Raw genomic sequence first — 27,205 nt, 5'->3', positions numbered from 1 at the left:
CAGGTTTACCTTACGAATGCTCCCTGGCTGAGCAGCACAGTATAAAATAGAATAGTAGGAGAATGGGCTCCAGCACCACAAATCCTGGATTGTTTTGACTGGAGTCAGAGTGGGTTCTCTTGTCTTTTCCTCTCAAAGATATCCATAAAAGGACAACGGTTGGACCCTATGGAATCAGTTCGTGAGGAGACAGTCAACTTGACCACAGACAGCAGGACCCCAGAAGTGTGCCTAGCCCTGTACCCAGGCACCAACTACACCGTGAACATCTCCACAGCACCTCCCAGGCGCTCGATGCCAGCCGTCATCGGTTTCCAGACAGCTGGTAGGTGGAGGTGAAGTCTCATTTCCTCCTAGAAAATGCTAAGCACAGAATGTGGGGAAGTATGCTGCAGAATCAGCTGGGCTGGAGAGCTCCTATTTGCTGTCTGAGATTTATACTCAGATGTAGTTGCTCCAGCCACAGAACTAGAGCAGGTCAAGAGATCCGTATCCTCTTGGTACCAGGCTGAATGGGCTCTGGGGTATTTTTTCTCAGCTGAGCCCTCCGGGAGAGGTGGAAAGTAATAAAAAGGCATTTAAAAGGAATGCCTTTTAAATGATGATCAGTCCACTCTCAAATATCCAAGGCAACAGAGGGTAGCCATGTGGCTTATCTTTGGTAGTAAACTCAAAAGTCATTTCTGGCCAGGTGTGGTGGCTCACGCCTATAATCCCAGCACTTTGGGAGGCTGAAGTGGGCAGATCACTTGAGGTCAGGAGTTCCAGACCAGCCTGGCCAACATGGCAAAACCTTATCTCTACTGAAAATAGAAAAACTTAGCTGGGTGTGGTGGCACACACCTGTAGTCCCAGCAACTCGGGAGGCTGAGGCACAAGAATCACTTGAACCCAGGGGGCAGAAGTTGCAGTGAGTGAACCGAGATTGCACCACTGCACTCCTGCCTGGGCAACAGGGCAAGACTCTGTCTCAAAAAAAACCCAAAAAAACCAAAAAGCCATTTCTTGCTCTTGCGTGTGAAAGAGGAGGTGCCAGGGAGGCTGACCCAGCAGCTTTAAAGAGATCAAGTTGAGAGTGGGGAAGTGGAAGCAGGGGCACCCCTAGGGTGCAGGAGGGTAGGTGTTAGCTGAAAAAAGGAGTGGAATGAAGGAGCTTTAAGAAGTAGAAATAAACCTCATTTTACATAATTGTCATGTGGGTTTTTAACAACATTGTGACAATTACAGTAAGTTAAAAAAAAAAAGCTCTGGTTATGGGTATGAGGACTAATTAAATACCTTGTAGACAGGTGGGGCACGGTGACTCATGTCTGTAATCCCTGCACTTTGGGAGGCTGAGGAGGATTGCTTGAGGCCAGGAGTTTGAGGTCAACCTGAGCAACACAGTGAGGCCCCATCTCTACAAAAAAAAAAAAGAAAGAAAATTTAGCTTGGTGTGATGGTGCATGCCTATAGTCCCAGTTACTCGGGTGGCTGAGGCGAGAGGATCACTTGTTCAAGGCTGCAGTGAGCTATGATCATGCCACTGCACTCCAACCTGGGTGACGGGGCAAGACCCTGTCTCAGAAAACAAACAAAAAACCCGGTAGACAAACCTTGACAAGTAATTGATGTCATTTATTTATTTTTTGAGATGGAGTCTTGCCCTGTCGCCCAGGCTGGAGTGCAGTGGTGCGATCTCAGCTCACTGCAATCTTTGCTTCCTAGGTTCAAGCAATTCTCCTGCCTCAGCCTTCTGAGTAGCTGGGATTACAGGCATCCACGACCGTGCCTGGCTATTTTTTGTATTTTTAGTAGAGACTGAGTTTCACCTTATTGGCCAGGCTGGTCTTAAACTCCTGACCTCAAGTGATCTGCCCATCTCAGCCTCCCAAAGTGCTGGGATTATAGGCGTGAACCACCACAGCTGGCCGATGTCATTTATTATTTTGGGGGAGTTGAGAAAGTTCTTAATTAGCTGTTTGCTATCCCACTGAAACTGTACCTTAACCCGAGTAGCTGGGAATAGTTCAGCAGAAATAGTTGAAAAAGTCTGCCAATCTTAACAATATAAAACCAACTATGAGATTATACAAATTAGGTCTCTTGACATTTGTATATAAATAAAACAAAATTAATTCTTTGCAAGTAAATAATATGCAGGCAAAGATATTATAAAATTAATATGGTAACTAATCAGAGAAGTCTTACAAAATTATTAGTAAACTACTATAGGGAAATGTCTTTAAAAGATCATCACTCACCTGCCACTGTTCAGTGAGGATGACAGGTTGCTGTTTGGCGTCAGCTGTTTTTACTAATATCCAATTACCTGTTCAAGTTCCTTTCCCTTGGGAAAAACATGGTCTTTGGAGTCAGGCAGATCCGGTTTTGCATCTTAACTCTGTATTGAAGAGTTGGCTGATCATGGCTGAGTTATTTAATGTCTCTGGACTAAAGGGAATTGGATTATATTTGCAAGTTAATCTAGAGAGAATTAGGATTTATGTTGAGCCATCCTAACTGGGAGCAAGGTATGTTTCCACATTTACTCAGTGTCTACTCAGGTCTTCTGTTTATTTATGCACTGTTATAAAGACTTGTCATTTTTTTCCTCTAGATCCTGGACATTCTGTTGTCTGATTTCATTATTGGAGTTATGCTATTTTCCTTAAAATGAATTGGGAAGTTTTCCATTGTTTTTCCCTCTGGAATACTTTATATCATGTTTGAATTATTCCCTTCTTTTAAAGTTGAAAACTTTCTCAAAAGATTGTTGAAGTTTCACCCCTTTCAGGAGATGATTCTTTAAGAACTTTGTCAATTTCTTCCATGATTTTGGGTCTGTTTATGTTTCTGACATTTTCTTGAGTCAATTTTTATATTTTTCTAAAAAATGTATATTTGGTTGATATACTACACATATTGGCAGAATGGCATATGGAATATTTGCTTACATCTCCTCTGGGGTCATAGGTTATATAATCCCAGGTTATTCTGACTCCTAAGTTTGGTTCTTTCTCTTTTTAGAGGTTGATTGGTTTGGGTTGCGTGTTTTATTACTATTTTTTTTCCCCGAGGGATGAACTCTTGGGTTTTAAAATTGTTTTTCTTTTTCTAACTCACTAATTTCTCCTCTTGTTTTTATTTTTCCTTCTCCATGTTTCTCTCTCTCTTTTTTTTTTTCTTTCTTTCTTTCTTTTTTTTCTTTTTTTTTTTTTTTTTGAGACACCCAGCTCTGTCACCCAGGTTGCAGTGCAGTAGTACAATCACAGCTCACAGCAACCTTGACCTCCTGGGCTCAGGTGATCCTCCCACCTCAGCCTCCCAAGTAGCTGGGACTACAGGCGTGCACCACTATGCCTGGCAAATTTTTGTATTTTTTGTAGAGACAGGGTTTTGCCATGTTACCCAGGCTGGTCTTGAACTTCTGGGCTCAATTGATATGCCTGCCTCTGCCTCCCCAAGTACTGGGATTATAGGTGTGAGTCACGGTGCACAGCCCATATTTCTGTTAAATTGGTTATATTGTTCTGTTTCTAAATTCTTGAGTCACGGTGCACAGCCCATATTTCTGTTAAATTGGTTATATTGTTCTGTTTCTAAATTCTTGAGTTGAATGCATAACAAAATTCAGCTTATTTTCATTCGTTTCTGTTTGATAATAAAAGTCTTTAATGTTTCTTTCTCCCTTGCAGATTTGAGCTTTGGCAGAATTCTTTAGGCATTGATACATGTTTCAAGGCATGATATAATTGCTATTCTGATTTTCTGTTTGACAGAATAATTATTTATGAGTGTTTTAATATGTGTTCTCTTTACCCTTACTTTCAAAGCATTATATAATTACTATTCTGATTTCCCCTTTGAATAATTAATTACAAGCATTGTATACAGTGGTAGATTTTTTCTTTGTAACATTTATACTGTGTTGTTGTTTTCTAGTTTTATTACATTTTGGTATGTTTGGAGGATTTATTGACATTTTCTTGGGCCTTACCATTTGGCCAAGTTTGGTAATTTCAGTAGGTGCTAGATAATAAGGTAGAGTGTTTGCCTGTAAGGGGAATAAGATCTGTTATTAAGTCAACTTTATTAATAAGGTTATTCAGGACTTCTGGTTTTTGTTTATTTTTAACATGGATTGCCATTTTCTGTTCCTCTTAGAAATTCTTATTGGTTTGTTTCACACATTTTGATATGATTTTTATGTTCATGACTGATATCTTTATTATAGATTCTTTCGCTAGTAACAAATGGCTTATTTTAGCCTGTTTAATACCTTTGCCTTGAATTATATGTTGAAAGTAATATTGTTTTCTTAATTTATTTGTGCTTGCATTTGCATGATATGCCTTTGTCTACTTTTTTTCCTTCTTGAAAGCTATCTGAATAATATTACTATAAATGTACTCTAGGAGACAGCATGTATTGAGAGCTTTTCTGGAAAACTTTTATTTTTGATTAGATAAGTTATCCAACTTACATCATTGTTATTTGTGATATGATTTTCCTTTCATCTGTCTATTTATTTATTTATTTACTTATTTATGAGCAGAATCTCGCTGTGTCGCCCAGGCTGGAGTGCAGTGGCGTGATCTTGGCTCACTGAAACCTTGGCCTCCCGGTTTTAAGCGATTCTTGTGCCTTAGCCTCCCAAGTAGCTGGGACTACAGGTGTGAGCCACCACGTCTGGCCTCTTTTTTTCTTTTTTTTCTTTCTTTTCTTTTTTTTTTTTTTTTTTTGAGATATGGTCTAGCTCTGTTGCCCAGGCTGGAGTTCAGTGGTGCAACCATGGCTCACTGCAGCCTTGACCTTCCAGGCTCAAGCAATCCTCCCACCTCAGCTCCCAAGTAGCTGGGACCACAGGTGTGCAGATCACTTAATTTTTTCATTTTGTAAAGACAAGGTCTCACTATATTGCCCAGGCTGGTCTTGAACTCCTGGCCTCAAGGGATCCTCCTGCGTCAGCCTCTCAAAGTGCTTGGATTACAGGTGTGAGCCACTGCTCCTGGACTGTTTTTTCCCTTTTTAATGCTACTTTGCTGTGTCTTTTGTTTTCTTTTTGTTACACAGATTTTCTTTTCCAGTGAGTCAGATAGTATAGATTTTGTTTTCTTTTCTACAAGTGATCACATTTAAAAAAGACAAATTCTATTTGAGTGTGTATTTCTTTTTTCACCAGTGTTAAGACTGAAATATTGTTCACTTTTCCCTGAATGAGATAAGTTAGCATTCCTTTTATTTTTAAAACTTCCTTTTATTTCTTCCCCTCTCTCTTCTCTTAGGTTATTGGTTTAGTATAGCATTATATTACCAGTTTCTTATTTTTAACATGTATTATCTCTCCAAAGAGCTCACTCTTATATTGATTTATAGAAACCTTGGTAGCGATGATTTAACCTTGGGTACATGTTTTAATAGTTTCAGTGCTTACTGACAGTCTTTTCAAACCACGTTCTCTATTATTTCTCTATCTCTATTTCTCTCTCTGTGTGGTGATTTGCCTGCTCCTCAGGGAGGGAATGGGATACTTTCTGAGTCCATGATGATCTGAGAATGTCTTTTGTTGCCTTCACATGTGAATGAGAGCTCAATTGAAGATAAAATTCTTGGGTCATAAACTTTTGTTCTTGGAATTCTAGAAGTATTTCTTATTGACGTTGGGAACTGGAAGCTTTGAAAGAAGAGTTAGAAGGTGTGACTTTCTTTTAAAAAAAAAATCCTGGCCAGGTGTGGTGGCTCATGCCTGTAATCCCTGCACTTTGGGAGGCTTAGGTGGGCGGATCACCTGAGGCCAGGGTCAACATGGCTAAACCCTGTCTCTACTAAAAGTACAAAAATTAGCTGGGGGTGGTGGTGTGTGCCTGTAGTTCCAGCTACTTGAGAGTCTTAGGCACGAGAATTGCTTGAACATGGGAGGCAGAGCTTGCAGTGAGCCAAGATCGCACCACTGCACTCCAGCCTGCGCAACAGAGCGAGACTGTCTCAAATAAATAAATAAAATATAAAAAATTCGATGTAAGCAATTTGATTTTCAGCTTGTGTATCATGAAGGCTTCTTTAGCCATGAAATTTAAGACATTAATCATTTATTAATGTACCCGGCAAATGTTTATTGACCACCTATTATGTGTCTGATGTTTTTTAGGCATTGGGAATTCGAAAGTGACACAGAAGTCTCTTCATGAAACCTCCGTCTGGGTAGTGGACGGATAGAAATGTTCATGTTTTGCACTGAGCTTTCCTAGTACCCTGTGAGTTGTTGTTGTTGTCGTTTTGCGACTGAGTCTTATTCTGTCACCCAGGCTGGTGTGCAGTGGCGTGATATTGGCTCATTGCAACCTTCGCCTCCTGTGTTCAAGAGATTCTTGTGTCTCAGCCTCCTGAGTGGCTGGGATTACAGGCTTGTGTCACCATGCCCAGCTAATTTTTGTATTTTTAGTAGAGATGGGGTTTTACCATGTTGGCCAGGCTGATCTCAAACTCCTGACCTCAAGTGATCCACCTGTCTTGGCCTCCCAAAGTGCTGGGATTACAGGCGTGAGCCACTATGCCCGGTCCCCTGTGAGTTTTTTGGTCTTTAGAATTTGGTTTAACTATATATTAGGAACATTTTCTTTTATTACATCTCTGATTATTGCTTTTTTTTTTTAAAGTTTGTTTTTTGCTCTTCAAATACCCCTGTGTGGAATTGCTTGTTCGTCCACACTGGTTTCCCATTTTCTCCTTTTTATCGTCCATGTCTTTTTCCTCTGCCTTCTTTGAATATATAACAAGTTTGTTCTCTATGTGCACTTACACAAATATGCATTTTTGCATTGACATTTCCTATCTTTACCATTTCCAATGCACTTTAAATTCTGCTGTTGCACTTTCATTTCCTTTTCTTTGGGTCTCATCTAGTTCCCTTTTTATTTCTGCTTCTCTCTACCAGTTTCCTCTCTGCTGTCACGTTCTTTTATTATCTAATCCTTTATCTCTTGTTTGAATCTATTTTTAAAATTTTTATTGAACCGTATGAAACAGATGCTGCCTAATTTTACCATTCTTTTGCTCAATATTTTCTTTTTTATAAATATGCTCATTCTTTGCCTGCCGAGCACAATTTTCCTTTCCTTCCCTCTCCTTCTTTGTAGAATCATTTTGCAGTTTTTCCCCCCCATTCTGGATTACTTATCCTTGGAAGATAAAAGTTCTGTCTAGGTCTGATATTTCCTTCATAATAAAATGGATGGCCTTCCCTTTGATCCTCCTTTTCATTGGATAATGTTAGTATGTTTATGTCAGATCTCAGTATGAAGGATTTACTGCTGGTTGGGTGACCCAGTGTCCTTTGGGCAGCAGCTGTGAGAAAGCCCACCACCCCGTGCTTTATTTCTGAGCATTTTGCTATGATTGGTGAAGCTGTTGGCTTTGGGCCTGGCTTCTTTATGGCATTACAGCCTACCAAGGCAGGAAAGAGGCAAGCCCCTTCTGTCAACCCAGGCTCTCTGCCAGATGGTACCTTCAGGTCCTGAGGCCTCTACTTCGAAGTCCTTCCCCATTACTAATCTACAGTGGGCTAAAGAAGGACTATTATTATTATTATTACTATTATTATTATTAGCAGTAGCAATAGTAGTATATATACTATTTTTTTTTAATATATACCTTGTTGCCTATCAGATTGCCTGGTGAGGTTAGGGGCGTGGTGGTTCATGCCTGTAATCCCAGCACTTTGGGAGACTGAGGCAGGTGGTTGGCTTGAGTCTAGGAGTTTGAAACCAGCCTGGGGACATGGTGAAACCCTATTTCTACAAAAGAAACCCCCAAAATTAGCTGGGCTTGGTGGTGCATGCCCGTAGTCCTAGCTACTCAGGAGGCTGAGGTGGGAGGATTGCTTGAGCCCGGGAGGTGGAGGTTGCAGTGTAGTCTGGGTGACAGAGTGAGACCCTGTTTAAAAAAAGAGAGAGAAGAAGAAGAATTGTCAGGCGAACTCTTAAAAAAATACAGACGTTGAAGCATTACTTCAAATCTGCTGATGTCTGGGTGATTCTGATGTGCAGTTTGGGAACCACTGGGCTAAATGGCTCCAGATGGAGCATGGGTCATTGATTTGTCTTGTGACCTGTCTTGATTTTTCCATGGGCTCTAGTTCTCCTCCAGTTCTTTCTTTTGAAACTTTGTGACTACATTCCTTTGCTTGGAAGCCAGGTTGCATAGTAGGTCTTAGGGTCTTTCTTTAGCCCCGGCTCTTCCATACTGTGCTAAGCTGAAATGTCTTCATGTTTCCGCCTTGTGTATGGCAACCGACCCTTCTTTCCAACCCAGATGCAAATTTTGACCCATTTTTACTTATTCTCCATCACTTCTGTCAGGCTTGGGCGTGGGAAGTGGGAGCCAGATGCCTTTGTTCACATTGCCATCTTCCCCTGAATTCAGATGATAATGACTATCTTACGTGAAAATCACATTGAGATGTGAACTGTGCAGACAGTACTTCTGCTTCTGTTCTGCCTGTACAGAGACAGAAGCTTTATGTGGTATTTCTTACATACATGCATTTCTTACATGCAGACACTTGGTATTCCTCACAATCACATGCATACATGTGACCATTTTTATTTCTGATGTCCTTATGAAATCTTTAAAATAAAAGTTGTGAAGACAAAGGAGAGCACATATGATAGGTCTTCAAATTCTCTCTCATAACCATCTTTCTACACTTTCCAATTATAGGCAGGAATATTTTCCCCAGCTGGCTGCCTTGTGCTGAATATGTCAGTGATATTGAAAATGCTGTGGACAATTCTGATCTTGACTAAAATAATTTATTGTTCTCATTCTTAGGTAGCAGAAACTCCCACGGGAGAAATACACATATAAAAGGTAGTTATAAAATAGCTTCTCTCTGGTAGACATTTACACCTTTCTCATTGGTAGAAAACATGCAGTCTTGTTTGTTGGGAAATTTGCTTTTTCTTGAAAATCACTGATATTATTCCTGACTCTCTGTTATTTCTTTAATTCATTAGTAATAAATCTATCCTTCTAAACTATATTAAGAAAATAGAACATTGTAAGAATGAATTAGACTGCAGGAGGTATGAAATGACTTTTTTCTGTACAATGGTTAAAACAAGTCTGCTTTCTGATTATTTTATTGCCTTAGTACTCAGCTGAGTAGCTCTTGAAATACTGTCTGCTGTGAAAGCAAATTTCCTCTTGCTTGGTCATCTACTTTCTGGTTATTTTCTAGGTTGGAAAGCACTTGCTCTGAGAGTTTAAATCTATAGCCTTTGATTTTTATTTGCCGTTTTCCTTATTCTCAGACTTTCTGGCTACTGCTATGCTTACCTTCATGACATTTTCCTATGGACGATCCAAGCGATAGGATTAACTTTCTAAAAATATCACAGCTTTCTTTATTAATTTATAGCAATTTTTAAATATTTCATTTGATTAAGCAGCCTATGACATAAGAAAAGCAAGCTGAATTACTTGATTTTACAAACAAGGAGACTGAGGTTCAGTGACTTAGCTAAGGTAATTACAATTGAGAAGCTGGAGAGCCAGGACTTGAAGCTAAGTCTGCTGATGCCAGTTTTAATATTATTCCTGTTAAACACCCAATTGGCTCTCTTAAGGTGTCAGAGTTTCACTTGTACTCAGCCATGATGCATTTTGCTAAGATGGTGCAAGCTGTCTATAACTCTCTCTCTTGTCTTTTAGAAGTTGATCTCTTAGAAGATGATGGAAGTTTCAATATTTCAATATTTAATGAAACTTGTTTGAAATTGAACAGGCGTTCTAGGAAAGTTGGATCAGAACACATGTACCAAGTAAGGAGATCTCTTATGCTTTCCATTAAAGAATTGTGTCATTTAAAAATTTGGGCGATCTCCAAGTAAGTATCCAAAGTATTTAAAAATGAATGAACTTCTAGACAGTTTGTGATTGTTGTTTCTAGAGATGGATGTAAGATGTGAGATGGGTGTAAATGAGGTACTAACTTGAAGAAAGATACTATATTTGGTGACTTGCTATCATTTTCTGTGCCTGGCATTTCAAGCTTATATTTTATTTTAATGCATTAAACAATACAGCTTATTTTGCTATCAGATTCACATTTGGGCATGGAATTTATTTTTATTTTTTATTTTTATTTTTTGAGACTGAGTTTCGCTCTTGTTGCCCAGGCTGGAGTGCAGTGGCATGATCTCGGCTCACTGCAATCTCTGCCTCCGGGGTTCAAGCGATTCTCTTGCGTCAGCCTTCCTGAGTAGCTGGGATTGCAGGCATGAGCCACCACGCCCAGCTAATTTTGTATTTTTAGTAGAGATGGGGTTTCTCCATGTTGGTCAGGCTGGTCTCAAACTCCCAGCCTCAGATGATCTGCCCTCCTCGGCCTCCCAAAGTGCTAGGATTACAGGCGTGAGCCACCACGCCCAGCTGGGCATGGAATTTTAAGGAACTCTTTGGATGGCTATTGACCCTCATTTAACTTGATTTTTTCTTAAACATCATCAGTAAAATTGTAAGTAAATTCAGGCAGGAACTGAGATTTATTTTGTGTCATTTTTAGTGCCTAGCAAGTCATCTGGTAGAGAGCAAACTCAGTAAGTATTACATTAAAAAAATTTTTTTTTCTTTTTTGAGACCGAGTCTTGCTCTGTTACCCAGGTTGGAGTGCAGGGAGGCGATCTTGGCTCACTGCGACCTCCACCTTCCAAATTCAAGCGACTCTCGTGCCTCAGCCTCCCAAGTAGCTGAGATTATAGGTGTGCACCACTATGCCCTGCTGATTTTTGTATTTTTATTAGAGATGTCGTGTCACCATATTGGCTAGGCTGGTCTCAAACTCCTGACCTCAAGTGATCCACCCGCCTCAGCTTCCCTAGGTGCTGGGATTACAGGTGTGAGCCACCGCGCCCAGGCCAAAATTAATTAATTTATTCTATTTACCAGAAGTATATCACATATTAGGACTTGGAAGTTTCCAATTCAAACTGATAGAAATATATAGGTAAATAGGCAACTACAATATGGTATAATGAGTGCTTTGACAAAAAGTAAATTAATAATGGAATAATAAAAGTAAATAAGTATAAAAATAGAGATTTTATTTGTGTGTGTGTGTGTGTGTGTGTGTGTGTGTGTCCAGGTACAATTTTTTTGTTTTTTTTGAGATGGAGTCTTGCTCTGTCGTCCAGGCTGGAGTACAGTGGCATGATCTTGGCTCACTGCAGCCTCCCTCTCCCAGGTTCAAGCAATTCTCCTGCCTCAGCCTCCCTAGTAGCTGGGATTCCAGGCATGCCCCACCATGCCCAGCTAATTTTTGTATTTTTGGTAAAGATGGGGTTTTGCCATGTTGGCCAGGCTGGTCTCAAACACCTGACCTCAGGTGATCCAGCTGCCTTGGCTTCCCAAAGTGCTGGGATTACAGGTGTGAGCTACTTGCCAGGCCAGGTACAATTTTTTTAACCAGAAGCAAAGACTGTTATACTGAGTCATAGAAAGTAAGTAGGAATTGGCCAGGCGTGGTGGCTCACGCCTGTAATCCCAGCACTCTGGGAGGCCAAGGCGGGTGGATCACGAGGTCAGGAGATCGAGACCATCCTGGCTAACACGGTGAAACCCCATCTCTACTAAAAATACAAAAAATTAGCCAGGCGTGGTGGCGGGCACCTGTAGTCCCAGCTACTTGGGAGGCTGAGGCAGGAGAATGGTGTAAACCTGGGAGGTGGAGCTTGCAGTGAGCCAAGATCGCACCACTGTACTCCAGCCTGGGCGACAGAGCAAGACTCCGTCTAAAAAAACAACAACAAAAAAATTAGATAAAGGTTAATTTGTGTGACATGTGAAACACTTTTAAATTGACTGGAAAAAAGTCAATATTTAAAAGCGGTTTGCTAAAGAAAATAGACGTATTGCCTAAACACGCATGAACACATTATGCCTCACTAGTAAGTGGTCCAGAAGAATAGGGGACTGCCAGACCGTGGAGGAGCAGCTCTGACGATAGCATAGTCTAGGTTGTGGCCATGGATATGGGTGGCCAAAGTGGAGTGAAGGAAGTTCATAGCATTGAGCTCAAAGAACTCTGAGGCCAACATTTGATGGTTTATCTGTAAGGACCTTTAAGTTATCCAAGAGAATTCAAAGAGTTTGAGAGAGAAGAATCCTTATGAACCACCTGTCAGGGTCTTGGATGACTGTCAAAATTGATAAGAGAAGAGTTAGTGATTGATGGGAATAAGGAGGGATTGAGGGTGGTATAGACAATGGTGCTAGCATCAGTGGCAACACCGAGCATATGTCTCCACCAGCTAATGCACCCTAACTGATCAAGGGCTGATCATATTACTTATAGGACCTTCACGAAAGTTTTTTCCCTATAATTCCCTGCTGGAGCTGGCAGTGCGTAGAGGATGGTTAGGTGACAGTGTGTGATATGACTCCATGGATCAAAAGCCCTTTTACCAGAGGTCTAATAGGAAGGGTCCAGTGAAGTACCATGGCATTTGCTTTGAATGCATAATCTGGGGTGGTCCCCATATGTTTTTGTTTTTTTTTTCTTCCATGGGTAGGGTTAAGGAACCCACCTAGTTTAAGTACTCTGTTCTATGAGGCTTGTCCATGGATTTCTTACAATGAAAAGAAACTAAAAGAATTTTGGTTGGGTGCAATGGCTCACACTTGTAATCCCAGCACTTTGGGAGGCTGAGGTGGGCTTGAGGCCAAGAGTTTGAGACCAGCCTGGGCAACAAAGTAAGATCCTGTCTTTACAAATTAATTGTAAAAATAATTACCCAGGTGTGGTGGTGCATGCCTGTAGTTCCAACTACTCGGGAGGCTGAGGATCACTTCAGTCCAGGAGTTTGAGATTGCTGTGAACTAAGATTGTGCCACTGCACTCCAGCCTGGGTGACAGAACAAGACCCTGTCTCAGAAAAGAGACAGAGAGAGAGAGAGAGAGAGAGAGAGAGAGAGAGAGAGAGAACGAAGTATTCAGAAGGGAAGGAGGAAAAAAAATAATTTTGCCCATTAGCTCCAATGTAATCTCTTTCACTTGCGTTATAATCAAGGGATTATTTTGGAATAGACTAATATTTTCTTCATCTGAGATGTAGTTATGCATATTAAGCTTGGTCCTATACCTGATTGTGAGGACAGGTAAGGTAGCTTTGTCAAGTCCTTCCTCAGGTTAGCTTGCTATTGTCTTAAAAGTAATTCTAAGTGGGCAAGGATAAATAAAAGGAACTTTCTTGTTTTAACTCCATTTTGCTAATAGTCTAGGCACCTGTTAGTCAATGGAAAATCTAATGTAACACTTTCTTTTAATCTCATGACAGTTTACCGTTCTGGGTCAGAGGTGGTATCTGGCTAACTTTTCTCATGCAACATCGTTTAACTTCACAACGAGGGAACAAGTGCCTGTAGTGTGTTTGGATCTGTACCCTACGACTGATTATACGGTGAATGTGACCCTGCTGAGATCTCCTAAGCGGCACTCAGTGCAAATAACAATAGCAACTCCCCCAGCAGGTGGGTGTAGACGTCTTTCTTTTTTGTGCCTCAGGACAAATTACCTATGTGAATTGAGCAGTGTGGGCGGGCATAAGAGTGCTAGTTTGGGAGTCAAGAGACAGGGGTTCCAGTTCTAACAAACTTTGTTAGCTGCGTCTGGGGTTCAGGATGCCTGAATCTTACCACTTATCCCCTTCCCTGAAGGGTACTGGCTCATAGAGGGCACAGACCAAGGATAGACTGATTTATTCAGAGCTCCCTGGGAGTCCTAAGTTGAGAATTCCATAAAGCATTTTATCTCTCACCCCAAATTTAAGACAACTGAACCCTAAGGGTATTCATTATCGGCAAGTAGAACGAACTTCCAGGAGACCAGAAACGTGGGTCCCACAGTGTCAGGCACTGGCAGGCAATACAGCCTCAGGACTAGGCCACGCATAAGCAAATTAACTTGACATAGAGAACAGAGGCCTGATTAAGGTCAGGCTCCTTAGAAATTCTTCCCTTGCAGTCTTTTGAGGAAGCCACATAGGTGCCAGCTGTATTAACTCCACAGCTCCCCCTAGTGGGATGGCTGTGGTGCAGCCATCACTACTATTTCTTTTGTTCTTTAATCCTGTGGGTTTATCAGACAAATTTACGGGCAACCAGAAGAGGCTACCCCTTTGAAGGAAAGCAGCAGAAGAGGGTAGGTCCTGCTGCTACCTCCCTGAAGCCGCTCTGTGATATTCACCTCTGCTCTTTGTGGGTCAGGGTGGGCAGTTTGGCCTTTGCATTTAGAAGACTCTGGGCCGGGTGCGGTGGCTCACGACTGTAATCCCAGCACTTTGGGAGGCCGAGGCTGGCAGATCACCTGAGGTCAGGAGTTCGAGACTAGCCTGGCTAACATGATGAAACCCTGATTCTACCAAAAATACAAAAAATTAGCTGGGCATGGTGGTGTGTGCCTGTAATCCCAGCTACTCGGGAGGCTGAGGCAAGAGAATCACTGAACCCGGGAGGCAGAGGTTGCAGTGAGCCGAGATTGCGCCATTGCACTCTAGCTTGGGCAACAAGAGCCAAACTCCATCTCAAAAAAAAAAAAAAAAAAAAGACTCTGAAATGTGTTAGACACTCATGAGAGCCACGTAGCACCTGAGGCTGAAAATTAATTTTTTTTTTTTGAGATGGAGTCTCGCTCTGTCACCCAGGCTGGAGGGCCAGGTGCCATCTTGGCTCACTGTAACCTCCACCTCCTGGGCTCAAGTGATCCTCCTGCCTCAGCCTCTTGAGTAGCTGGGACTACAGGCGCATACCACCATGCCCAGCTAATTTTTGTATTTTTAGTAGATACAGGGTTTCACCATGTTGGCCAGGCTGTTCTCGAACTCCTGACCTCAAGTGAGGTCTTCCAATTCAGCCTCCCAAAGTGCTGGGATTACAAGTGTGAGCCACCGTGTCTGGCTTCAGTTTTTATCCTATTTTTTTTATCAGATTGAGCCTGGCACCTTGTCCTGTCTGTATCAGCAGAGTTTGCACAAGGAGCACCTCATGACATCATAAACCTACCCCCCAACACATTTTCAGCTGCATAGTAATGCTCGCAAATTGAATATGAATTCCCTCCAATTATTAAATTCTTAGAGAAATAAAAATCTATAAATAAAATCTAGCTGGGTGCAGTAGCTCACGTCTAATTCCAGCACTATGGGAGGCCAAGGCGGGTGGATTGCTTGAGCTCAGGAGTTTGAGACCAGCCTGGGCAACATAGTGAAACTCTGTCTCTATAAACAATACAAAAATTAGCTGGGTGTGGTGGCATAAGCCTGTGGTCCCAGCTACTTGGGAGGCTGAGGTGGGAGAATCTCTTGAGTCTAGGAGGTTGAGGCTGCAGGGAGCCGAGATTGCGCCACTGCACTTCAGCCTGGGCAATAGAGCAAGATCTCCTCAGATAAAGAAATAAGAATAAATAAATCCACCTCTCCTTGTAAAATAAACTAAAATGTAAAGGCATGAAGTCCCCAGTTTTTTCTATCCTACATCTTTTCTGCTGAGTCTTGGCCAGAGTGTCCTGCTGAGTGGAGAGTGTGTTCTAGCTGTTGAAACCTAGGAATCTTGTTTTGTAATAGATGCTACTCCTTTGGTGTATAGGAGACTGGCAAATGCTGAGGTTTTGAGGCAGGCACATACTTGGCATATTCTAGGAATGTCATGGAAACCAGTATGGCTGGAGCAGAGAGCTGGGGACAGTGGTGAGAGATGAGGTCTAAACTCTAGCATGAGTATAATAAATGAGAGGCCCATGGTGTCAGGTTCAGAAAGAAGCCTGTTGTTACCTTCTCCTTTGCCTCCCTAAATTACTAGTAGTAAGTATAATGTAGCATGCCATAGTTCAGCCTCTGTAGGTTACCAAGCAGTCTGGAGTCTACCACGTGTCAATTTAAACTTAAATTGGGAAATGTCTTCTCGTCAGGGTAGTTGGATTCATTTTGACACTGTACTCTCCTTGAAAATTTTAGACATTTGCAGTGGTGGCTCTAGGTCTTTCTTGATGCCCGTTCCAAAGATTAAAACCTTTCCATTTTCGTTGCTCCCTTGAGCCCTATTTCTACCCAAGCTTCACCATTGCTGAAGATCTTTATCTGTTTAGTGAAAGAGTCTCCCTTCTTTCTGGGCAGGACACCCCACATTTATCTTAGGAAACTCTTCAAGTGAAATGCATCATCTTGCATGCTTCCTTCCCTGTCTCCATTTCTGACTCTTTTCTCTGAATTTCTCTAAACCCAGAAAGATCCCCCAAATTGTTTTAGTTCTGGACTCCACAGGCTCCTATTATTGAATGTCTGCCTGTGAGTCCTACTTCCTGGTTAGGAGATTTTCCCTTTTGTCTCCCATGGGGAATTACCCTCAGCTGATCTGTGAGCTGCTGTTGGGTTTCCAGAACCTGAACTTTCACTGGTCTGATGAGGTCCAGGAAACCCCCTGGGCTAGTGGCATTTCGCCCAAGCCCTACCTTCTTGGAATTGAATTTCCAAGACTTAAATGGTCGGTGCTTCTTTGATGGAAACTGAAACACTTCTTGCTCCCGCTTCCTTTTCTGTATCAGAGAGATAAGCCTGCAATGTTCAAGGTCCCTCTGAGAACGTTCTTACTTAGCAGGTCCTGCTCAGCTCTAAGCCTTTACCCTTCCATTTAAGTTGTTTCTGTTCCGTCTTTATTGCCAGGTAGGACTCATACCTTTTGCTAGGTCTTAGTACTTTTCCTTCTCTATATTTGCTTTTTGTTTTCAGACTTAGATTTTTGTTCTCCTCACATATTACTTTGGAATCTGCCTCCGAGGTCTCTGTAGAGAAAGAATGATGTCACAGAGCTCTCGACCTGCCATAAACATCCAGTGTTAAAATACCTTCTTCCCACTTTCATTTTCACTAGGAGGCATTTCTTTCTATTCAGTTCGGCCTAAACCCAGGCCTGGGCTTTATCAATTTTCATTCTCCCTGGACCTTGTTTAATACAGCTCTATTTCCCAGGCAGATGTCCTTATAGCCGGTGCAATACCTGTTGCCCCATCTTACAAAAACAATGCCACCTTGAAACTCACTTAGTGATGCTTGAAGAATTCTACACTGATCATTCACTGATGATTCTCTTTTTAAACATGTTCACATTTCTTTAACTATAGAGTATCACAGTTCCAGTTATTAAGGAAGAAACGAAGAGTTCTCATTAATGCCTATTCTCGCTCCCCTATTTAAAACTTTTCCTTGTCATATTTTTCTAACTGGGCCAATATGATTTCAAATTTTCTTCTTAGTGTTATTTCCTTCACTTTGTTTCATTCCTCCTAATCTTATCGTTTCTCCCTAATCTTATCCTGTCTGCAAGACCAAAACCTGTTTTGTAAACTGACTTCATTCTATTTTCAGAGATGGGGAAAATCTCATTTCTAGGAACAGAGTTCTAGGTGTACACTTTTTGCTATTTCTTTTTAGCATTTGAGTTTGTAATAATTCCACTGGACTTTTTTTCTACTTTAGCCCCCAAAGAGTTTCTTATCTAGAATCCCCGGTCTGAGTTTCTGTGAAACAGATCATCCAGGGCCATTTAAAAGCCCTTGGTGTGGGGGTGAACTCAGCCTGTGGAGAAACCGTGGATCCAGTCTTTCTACAGTTCTCTCCTTAGCCCTGGATGAAATTCCAAACAATATAAAGAGAAATGGAATTTTGGCAAGCTAATCTAATGTTGTCTACTAATATCTAGCTCCCCAAAATGCTCTTTAAAACCTCCCACCATTGCTCCCTTTGTGCATCTTAAACTTTAGCAAGTGTAATGATTACCTGGAGAGCTTATGAAAACACTGGTTCCTGGGCCCCATCCCAGAGGTTCTGATTCAGTAGGCCTTTGGGGAGGGGAGCAAATTTTCATTTCTAGCAAGCTTTCAGGCCTTATTGATATTGTCAGTCCACATTTTGAGTCGCATTGCTCTAACCACATAAACCTTAGCTACTTCCGGGCAATGTCAAAGCTCTTGCAGGCGGAGACATAATAAGAAAAGAAAGACTGAAATAAAAAAAAAGTGGTAGCTAAAATAATTCCATCTGCTCCTGCCTAAAAAGCCTATGTCTTAGAGCTTTGTCTGATTTGCAAAGTTTTCCTGGTAATCAGATATCTACCTACCTCATCTGTTCCTGAATTCCAGCTGCAGAGACCAGGAGCTCTCATCTTCCATCATGGTGCCTTGCTCCGCTGTGGCAGCTCTTATCTTTATACTCAAGGCCCCAGTCAGTATATCTGTCTTTTGCAGGGAGATACTGAATCTTACCTCTCCTTTCCATCTGAGATTAACAGGACAAACAGATAGATAAATGACAAATAGAGGATCAACTTTATTGATCTGGGCAAGTTTCCAGGAACTCTCTCCAAAACTGAATTTCAGGTAAAAGCTATATTGAAGGATGAGGTTTAGCTATTGTGGCCAAGTGGAACTTCCTACTTGCTGGAATTCCCCCTGGAAATATGGGCAGTTGGGTCTGTAAGGGACCCTTGCCTGGCTTACCCACCCAGTCTCAGGCCGAAAAGCAGAGGAAAGGGCGGTGACAGACACTGGGTGCTTACCTCTTGGAGACCGGAGATACCCAGAGTGCTCCTTGTACCTGTGCACAGGCGGGTCCCAGAGAGCAAGTCTGCCTTTTGTTTGGGTGGCAACCTGTAATATATGAACTTATTACTTGGAAATGTGACTCAAGGAATGGCAGTCTCCTACCAATTAGATTACATATTTACTGTTCCTTCCTTGAGGATTAACATATAGGGAATAGGGAGAAGCCAAAATTGCCTTTTCCCTTATGGAATTGGAAAGACAGGTAAATAGCAACCTTTAATACACTCAAGCAAGGTCACTGATCTCTGTAATTATCTTGAACAGGAAAGGTCCATTATAGTTCTAGGAGTCTATGTTAGGAAAGCAATTTAAATTACTTTTAGGTTCCTTCAAATTCATTTGTTTTGAAGGAAAAATTTGTCCAAATTTCTTGGTTAATTTACCATCACTATTTTATTTATTGATCAAATTTTGTGTTCTCATGGACATAGATAGTTTATTCATATACTGAGAGCATGACTTCTTTGATTATTATTTATGTTGCCTTTCTTCTGTTTTATGGTTTCTTTCAATTTTGTTTACGATGTTTTTGACATATAAAAGTTTTAGATTGCTATACAGTCAAATCTATTGATCTTTTCCATTGTGATTCATTACATTGTTATTAAATGTAGAATTTTTTAAAACAAAAGAGTATTTATATTCTGTCTTATTTCTAGGAAAGACTTTAAGTGACCTGCATGGGTATATAAAATAAACGATAATAGGTTAGACGTCTAGGCTAAAGAAGAAAGAAAACAAAAACAGAGACATAAAAAATATAGGAATAAGGTTAAGAATAATTCATGCCCTTATAACCTATTTACTTGTTCATTAGTGCCTCTAAAATTTAGGTTTGAGTTTTCCCATCCAGCCAGAAAGGGAACCATTGCATTGTCCATAATGTTACAACGAAGCAGTGTTTTTCAGAAGCACAATTCTTTTTCAACATTAAGAATCAGTTAGAAATTTCTGATTCCAGGGGGTCTCATAAATAGGACAGTGTCTGAGCAGCATTTTATGAGGATTTTATAAGGCTATTTTTTTGTATTGCCCCTGAACACAGAAAAGCACAATTCAGTGTAGAGTGGCAGAAAAGATGCATTAGAAATGCCTGCTGTTTGCTGATCTGGCTTGATTCAGGGGTAGGATTAGGTTATTTAGATTATTTGGAGGTATGACTGGAGTCCATTTCTTTCAAGCATTGTTTTCTAAATATTGTTTCCCTCAACTGAGATTTGATGAATGTTTGGTGTCACTGAGCTAGCAACTGTTTTCTCTTATAAGTACCCAGGGAGCAATTGTTCTGTGCCACCAATTGAATAACAAGGACTTGTGCTTGAATTGAACGCTGGCCTCCTCTGCTGGAAGGTTGAGCCTGGGGAGCTGAGCCAAGGGAATTGTTTGAATCTGCTCTGCCAATGAATGGGTGATTGAACTCTCAAAATTCCTCTCCTTGTAATATAGTCACAGGTGTTTAGCCTGAAAAATTTCACAGTTGTTCTGACCAGATACCAAATTTGTCTAAAGAAAAATTTCAATAAAATAACAGTAAAGCTCCCAGCTTTGAACCATATTATATCTTGTTGCCCTCTTTAAGATAAACTGCTCCCCAAATGTAAATCAAGGATAACTAAGATGATACCACTATTTATAGAGCAGTTATACAATAGTAACTTTGCTTTCAGGATAGTTGATTTATAGCCATTCTTTATGACAATATTTAGCTTGCAAAGCCAACTGTCTATATAGGCTACTTCTAATTAGAGATTTAAATACCGCTATTATTTATGTACAAAAGAATGTTTTTATTCAGTTCTTTTTAGCAGAAGATTGCATGCATTTAGATATTCCCAAAATAATGTTGGTAAGTTTTAAAAAATCCTACAAGGAGAAGGAACAGAGCACTCTTCCCAGGGAGTAAAGCCCTGGTAGAAAACCATTACTCTTAAGGTGGCTTTCTGCTGCAGGTTTTGAACAGCATGCATAATTTGAGATCTATGTGGACTTTATAAAACTTCCCCCATAATGGATTCCTGTTCACAGAATTAAAGTCCAAACAAAAGATAATTAAGACCATAAATCATTTAATGTTGTTTCTGATATTTTTCCACAGAGTGATAAATATTATAACAGTATTCTGTGGTTGAAGAGTTATGCCTGAAGTCTACCTTCTTTTCTTACAAACCATTAGCCTGAGAAACCCATACTTGTAGTTGGTCAAGCCAGAAATTGGCATATATTTTACATGGAATATACAATCATCTGAATGTGCCAAGTATGGAGAGAGTAGATGTTTGTTCTTTTAACAGATAAGTTAGTGACCTTGTAGATCCAGCTCAGTGGGACCATATCCATTACCTTTACTCATAAAGATGAATAAGTTGCTTAGAATTGGAGCCTTCAGCTAAATGGGTTCTAAGTGGCTCTGAAGGCAATAGATTCATCTCATTCTTTTTAGTACCTTCATTTTCTAATCATGCGTATAGACACAGACTCCAAAACTGTTCTCTCCTAGGCTAGAATCAGAGAAAGGGTCACATACTTTTTAGTCTAAAATATTCCTTAGTGCCATGCAAAGGAAAGCTAACTACAAGATATTTTAACAACTTTTATTTACTTATAATTTTTAAATTTGATATAATTTCAAATTTTTCTCTTTCTTGCACTTCTACCCCTTCCTGTAATATATCCCACTTGGTCATTGTGTATTGTCGTATGTGGCGTTAGATTCTGTTCACTAATATTTTCTTTAGTATTTTTGCACCAATATTTATAAGTAATGTTGGTCTATACTTTTCTCTATTTTTTTTGACACTCTTTATCAGGTTTAAGCATTGGTATTTTCCTTTCTTCATAAAAATAATTTGTAAAGTTTCCTTCATTATTTATGCCCTGGGACAATTCACATAGCATTTGGACTATCTGATTTTGGATGATTTGGTAGAATCCATCAAATTCTATGAAATGATCTGGGTATGGGGCTTTTCTATGGGGTTATTCCTTGATGACATTCTCAATTTTTTTCTATGGAAATTGGTCGGTTTAAGCTTTTTCTGTCTAATGGAGTCAATTTTGGCAAACCAGATTTTGCAAGGAATTACCTATTTCGTCTAAGTTTTAAAATTTATTTGTACACTGATCTGCAAAGTAGTTTCGTTTAACTTTTTGAATTTTCTTCTGTCTCAGTGATCATTTCTCCCTTTATCTTTATTTTCTGCCCCTTTTCTAGATTAAATTAGCTAAGTGGTTTGTTTATTTTATTAGTTTTTCTAAGATTTTGGTTTATTAATTGGATCTACTATTTTTTTTCTGTCTCACAATATCAGGGATTAACAAACTATGACCTGCAGAACAAATCTGGCCTGTCACCTGTTTTCATAAATAGTTTTACTGGAACAAAGGCAGAGTTGAATAGTTGTGACAGAACTGTCAGCCTGGAAAGCCTAAAATATTTACTTATCTGGCCCTTTATAGATAAAACTTCTTGATTCTCGCTCTATATCATTATTTCTGCTTTCTTTTCTTTTCTTTTCTTTTTTTTTTTTTTTTTTTTTGAGATGGAATCTTGCTCTGTCACCCAGGCTGGAGTGCAGTGGCGCGATCTCAGCTCGCTGCAACTTCCGCCTCCCGGGTTCGAGCGATTCTCCTGCTTCAGCCTCCCGAGTAGATGGGACTACAGGCATGTACCACCACGCCCAGCTAATTTTTGTATTTTTAGTAAAGACAGGGTTTCACCATGTTGGTCAGGCTGTTCCTGACCTCAGGTGATCCACCCTCCTTGGCCTCCCAAAGTGCTGGGATTACAGGTGTGAGCCACCGCACCTGGCCAGTTTCTGCTTTCATAACTATTATATCCTTTCTTATACTTTCTTTTGCTTTACAAAGGTGGTTGTACTATATCTTCATTGTGACTTGTGGCTTTTAGCATTAAAAGTGGTCCTTTGTCATATTTAATGCTTTTTGATTTGAATTCTACTTTGTCTTATATAGAGATTGCAGTGCTTACTTTCTTATAGTTTCAACTCCATCCTATTATTTTATGTTACAACTGCTATATGTATTGTGTTATATTTTCTGCATTTCTTTCTCTGTGTGATGGATTTTCTTTGCTTTATTTATTAATTTTTAAAGGAAGGTTTACATTTTTCTAGTGGTTACCTTTATACCTTTAAAAAACGCCCTCTCTTCTGTTTTCTCATTTAACTTTTCACCATCTGGTTTGTCAGGTTTTTTGTTTGTTTGTTTATTTGTTTGTTTTTAAGACAGGATCTCACCCTGTTGCCCAGACTGGAGTGCAGTGGATTGATCATAGCTCACTGTAGCCACAACTTCCCAGACTCAAGTGATCCTTTTGTCTCAGCCTCCTGAGTAGCTGGGACTAGAGGCATAAGCCACTGTGCTCAGCTAATTTTAAAACTTTTTGTAGAGACAAGGTCTCTCTTTGTTGCCCATGCTGGTCTCAAACTCCTGACCTCAAGTGATCCTCCCACCTTTGGCCTCCCAAAGTGCTGGGATTACAGGCGGGAACCACCACACTCAGCTGGTTTGTCAGTTTTTGTTTGTTTGTTTGTTTGTTTTTTGAGATGTGGTCTCACTCCCAGGCTGAAGTACAGTGGCATGATCATAGCTCACAACAGCCTTGAACTCCTGGGCTCAAGTGATCCTCCGACCTCAGCCTCCCAAATAGCTGGGGCTACAACCACCATGCTTGGCTAATTTTGTTATTTTCATTTTCTATTTTAGTGGAGACAGGTTCTCCCTATATTGCCCAGGCTAGTCCTGAACTCCTGGCCTTAAGTGATCCTCCTACCTTGGCCTCCCAAGGTGCTGGAGTTAACAGGTCTGAGCCACTGCACCTGGCCTGGTTTGACAGTTTTTAATGGCATACTTTAATTCATTTATTGCCTTTATGACATTCAACTATTGAATCAACTAGTTTATTCTATTTTCCTTTTTCTGCATCCCTTTTCCTCTCAGTTTTTCAGTTGCATTATTTCTACTTTATGAAAACATATAGCATTTATATATCACTCTTCCGCCTCGCCCCATCTTTATTTTTGTCTTAGAGCTACAATTGAATACAGCAAATGCTTATCACCAATCCTTTTACTGAAGTTTCCTCAGTTTATCTCTTGGATGAAGCTCATTTTCTAGTAGATTCCTTAAGAGCACAGTATTCCTTGAGTTCTTGGATATTTAGAATTGTATCTGTATAGCCTTGATATTTGAAAGGTAGCTTGGCTAGATATAAAAATCTTAATTCACACTTTCTTGGTTTGAGTGTCTTAAAAAGATTCAGTTCTTTTCTTGCCTTGCTTTCTATGTAGCTTTTGAGAAGTCTGATGCAGCCTGATTCTTTTGCCCTTGGATGTTATGTTTATTTCTTTGAGTGAAGACCCTGAGGATTTCTTCCTTTATCTTTAAAATCTAATAGTTTTACTTGGATACATTTTGGGGTTGATTGTTGTGGGTCAGATTTCACAGGTACCCAGTGTATCCCTTTAGTATTTCTACTCAGGTCTCTTTATTCTTGTAAAGTTATCTTGAATTGTAGTTTTAAACACTAATTCTGTTTCATGCTTGTTTATCTTCTTCAGATAATTTAATTATACATGTGTTGGATCTTTGCCTATATTCCACTTCATTCACTTTATTTTTGACCCTTTTAACTTCTTTTTGATCTCATTTTTATTATTTTCAGTTGTTTTCCTATATTTCTTCAATGCCTTTTATTCAATCTACCCTTCTTTAGGCACCATGAAATTTAGTCTTTATTATTTCTAATGTGATTTTGTATTTTCATTATTTTTTCCTGAACTTAGTCACCTGTTTCATTTCCTCCCTATTTTTTGTGTCCATTTATGTTTTAAGTTTTAAATTTCCTAGGCCTGGCTCAGTGGCTCATACCTGTAATCCCAGCACTTTGGGAGGCCGAGGTGAGCGGATCACTTGAGGTCAAGAGTTAAGACCAGCCTGGCCAACATGGTGAAACCCCGTCTCTACTAAAGATACAAAAATTAGCCAGGCTTGGTGGTGCACACCTGTAATTCCAGCTACTCAGGAGGCTGAGGCAGAAGAGTCACTTGAACCCAGCAGGGTTCAGTGAGCAGAGGCTGCAGTGAGCAGAGATCGTGCCACTGCACTCCAGCCTGGGCAGCAGAAAGAGACTTCATCTCAAAAAAGAAAAAAAGAAGTTTTAAAATTTCTGACTCAAGGAGTTTTCTTCATATCCCCAAATGCTTGAGGATACTTATTTCAGTTTATTAATGTATAGGACTCCCCCTCCACCCCAGTTTGTGGGTTTAAAAAAATGTAGAGCTTTTTACAAGCTGCATTGTTTTTATTTTATATGTATATTATATATGTATATTTTATATATGTATATATATATAAAATACAAACTGCTTTTGTCTGTTAATTCCCAGGACAGAATTGCTGGTTTAGGATGGTTAACAAGATTTCTAGGTTAAGAGTGCCCTCTTCTGTCACTGAGTGAAATGCAGTTTCTTTAAAGGTTTTTTTTGTTTGTTTGTTTGTTTGTTTTGATAAGACTGGGCATGAATCATGTATTCTTCTCATTTTAGGTTCTCTTTTGCCTTGTAGGATCTTGCATTTCCCTCTCGCTTCTGTTGCCCACCACTGCTTAGTCTCCAAAGGACACCCATTCCTTCCCTTTTATCCTTTTCTTTCCCAGAAGCAATGCCGTTTTCTTACCACTACCTGACAACTCATGGACTTTTAATCCTTTCCTTGTAGTCAGTGCTCTGTCTATACACCAGATCTCTCTCTCTCTCTCTCTCTCTCTTTCTTTCTTTCTTTCTTTCTTTTTTTCTCTCTCTCTCTCTTTCTTTCTTTCTTTTTTTCATAGTTAGAGTGGAGTTTCTCTTGCTGGGAGTGAACCTAGCTTACTCTGGGCCACCTTGCTTCCCTCTTTTCTATTTCACACATCCCTTCTATCACCCCTCACTCTTCACAAGGACTTGTGGGAGATTGAGAGATAATTTTGCTGGAATTTCATATTTATTTTTCTATTTAACAGATTTTTTTTTTTTTTTTTTTGAGGCAAGGTCTCGCTCTGTCACCCAGCCTGGCAGGACACATCTCACTGCAGCTTTGACCTCCTGGGCTCAAGCAATCTTTCCACCTCAGCTTTTCGAGTAGCTGGTACTACAGGCTCCCGCCACCATGCTCAGCTAACTTTTTTATTTTTTGTAGAGATGGTGGTGAGAGGGGCGGGTCTTGCTATGTTGCCAAGGCTGGTCTGAAACTCCTGGGCTCAAGCAATCCTTCCACCTCGGCCTCTCAAAGTATTGGGATTACAGGTGTGAGCTACTGTACCCGGCCTTAACAGTAATTTAAAGTTTGTAATGTTTTCTATTTTCCTTTTATGATGACAGCTTCTGTTTTATGTTGTTTTATTTTATTTTATTTTTGAGACAGGGTCTCACTCTGTCACCCAGGCTGGAATGCAGTGGTGCAATCTCGGCTTACTGCATATGTTGTTTTATTTGATCTTCTTGCTGATCTGAAGAATATTTTGGAGGATGCGTAGTGAGTTATATTTAAGGGGCCACCATTATCTTTGATGATTGGAACTCTGATCGGTAATATATTACGTGCTAACTTTTCCACCTCCGTGTCTTTGTTCATGCCATTTCTTCTACCTGGAGCCCACTCCCTTTTCTTGAGTTCATAGATTTCTTTCTTCCATGATTTCCACTTCCCACCTTTCAAGCTGATAAGTATCTTTCTTTCTGAATTCCCGTAACCTATTTTAACAGGAAGTATAGGTAGTAGTTTGGCACAGTTCCTCTGGAGTCAGATGATCTAAATTCAAATCCCAGATCTGCCACTTACTATCTCTGTAACTTCGGACAAGTTATTTCACCTCTATGTGTCCCAGTTGCCTTAACTGTGAACATGGGAATAACAATATCCATATCGTGGGCTTGTTGTGAAGACCAAATGGATTAAAGCACATGGAGAAACAGCACAATACCTGACACAAGATGAATGTCTATCAAATGTTAACTATTACTTACATTTACTTTCTGACATTTATTATATACTCCCTTGTTTTTAAAACTGTACTTACATAGGCCATAACTTCTCTCCTAGGTGAAATGCATGTTATGGGCAGAAAGCATGTCTTACTCAGAGTACTTATATTCCACTGGGTCAATGCAATACCATTTGCTTAGCTTTCCCCTTATTGCTGATTGCATTTGAACAATCATAGCTGCTGTGATTGTTTAAATCACTGCCCTAGACACTGAGAGTGCAAAGATTAAGAAGATGTCTCTCTCTTCAAGGAGCTATCAGTTCAACGGGGGTGATAGACAAAGATCAATAATACAATATATGAAGCATATTTGAGGTATTTGCAGGGTACCACAGGAGCAGAGAGGAAATAGTGATTGATTTTGCCAAGAGTCGCTTGCCCATACAAATGAAGCAGAAACAAAGTTTCATTAAGAGCTTAATTTTCTCTTTTTTGAGGCATTCTTGCAGTTCTGGTTTTTCAACTTCAGGATTCTAGATCACATTGGCCCAGCGGGTGGAGAAAAGAGAGAGAACACAGAGTAACCACTA

General features: G+C 40.2%; 1 protein-coding gene across 15 annotated transcripts in view, besides 5 other annotated features; it reads left to right on the top strand.

Moving 5' to 3' along the window:
- The window catches only part of SUSD1 (sushi domain containing 1), a 134,515-nt gene that overhangs the window by 63,319 nt on the left and 43,991 nt on the right, over positions 1-27,205 (top strand). For 9 of the 15 annotated variants that reach the window (XR_007061338.1, XR_007061339.1, XR_929835.2 and 6 more), the window contains 4 exons: positions 139-325; positions 8,812-8,850; positions 9,694-9,803; positions 13,317-13,509. Coding sequence is in view for 11 of the 15 variants with exons in the window: in XM_017015037.2 (XP_016870526.1) it covers positions 139-325; positions 8,812-8,850; positions 9,694-9,803; positions 13,317-13,509 (529 nt within the window). In the remaining 4 variants the exon portion in view is untranslated. Of the gene's footprint in view, positions 1-138; positions 326-6,130; positions 6,237-8,811; positions 8,851-9,693; positions 9,804-13,316; positions 13,510-27,205 lie in introns of those variants that run through there. The other 6 variants (XR_007061340.1, XM_047423727.1, NM_001282643.2 and 3 more) reach the window with 2 other exon arrangements.
- Positions 12,408-13,326: an enhancer, noted in NCBI's record as "OCT4-NANOG-H3K27ac-H3K4me1 hESC enhancer chr9:114860933-114861851 (GRCh37/hg19 assembly coordinates)". NCBI's record gives its function as "activates a minimal SCP1, AML or CMV promoter by ChIP-STARR-seq in naive H9 embryonic stem cells {active_cell/tissue: H9 hESC(naive)}" and the evidence as "EXISTENCE:reporter gene assay evidence [ECO:0000049][PMID:30033119]".
- Positions 13,327-14,246: an enhancer, noted in NCBI's record as "OCT4-NANOG-H3K27ac-H3K4me1 hESC enhancer chr9:114860013-114860932 (GRCh37/hg19 assembly coordinates)". NCBI's record gives its function as "activates a minimal SCP1, AML or CMV promoter by ChIP-STARR-seq in naive and primed H9 embryonic stem cells {active_cell/tissue: H9 hESC(naive and primed)}" and the evidence as "EXISTENCE:reporter gene assay evidence [ECO:0000049][PMID:30033119]".
- Positions 13,968-14,087: a silencer, noted in NCBI's record as "silent region_20187". NCBI's record gives its function as "represses an Ori minimal core promoter by ATAC-STARR-seq in GM12878 lymphoblastoid cells {active_cell/tissue: GM12878}" and the evidence as "EXISTENCE:reporter gene assay evidence [ECO:0000049][PMID:35858748]".
- Positions 16,296-16,465: an enhancer, noted in NCBI's record as "experimental_106106 CRE fragment used in MPRA reporter constructs". NCBI's record gives its function as "activates a minimal promoter by MPRAs in K562 erythroleukemia cells, with activity observed for the non-introgressed 9:114857879 variant allele {active_cell/tissue: K562}" and the evidence as "EXISTENCE:reporter gene assay evidence [ECO:0000049][PMID:34662402]".
- Positions 19,610-20,256: an enhancer, noted in NCBI's record as "OCT4-NANOG hESC enhancer chr9:114854003-114854649 (GRCh37/hg19 assembly coordinates)". NCBI's record gives its function as "activates a minimal SCP1, AML or CMV promoter by ChIP-STARR-seq in naive H9 embryonic stem cells {active_cell/tissue: H9 hESC(naive)}" and the evidence as "EXISTENCE:reporter gene assay evidence [ECO:0000049][PMID:30033119]".

Source organism: Homo sapiens, chromosome 9 (assembly GCF_000001405.40).
Source record: "Homo sapiens chromosome 9, GRCh38.p14 Primary Assembly".
In the NCBI taxonomy this organism is placed as follows: Eukaryota; Metazoa; Chordata; class Mammalia; order Primates; family Hominidae; genus Homo; species Homo sapiens.
The sequence above is the reverse complement of the archived record's forward strand: the minus strand, read 5'-3'. Positions and strand labels throughout refer to the sequence as shown.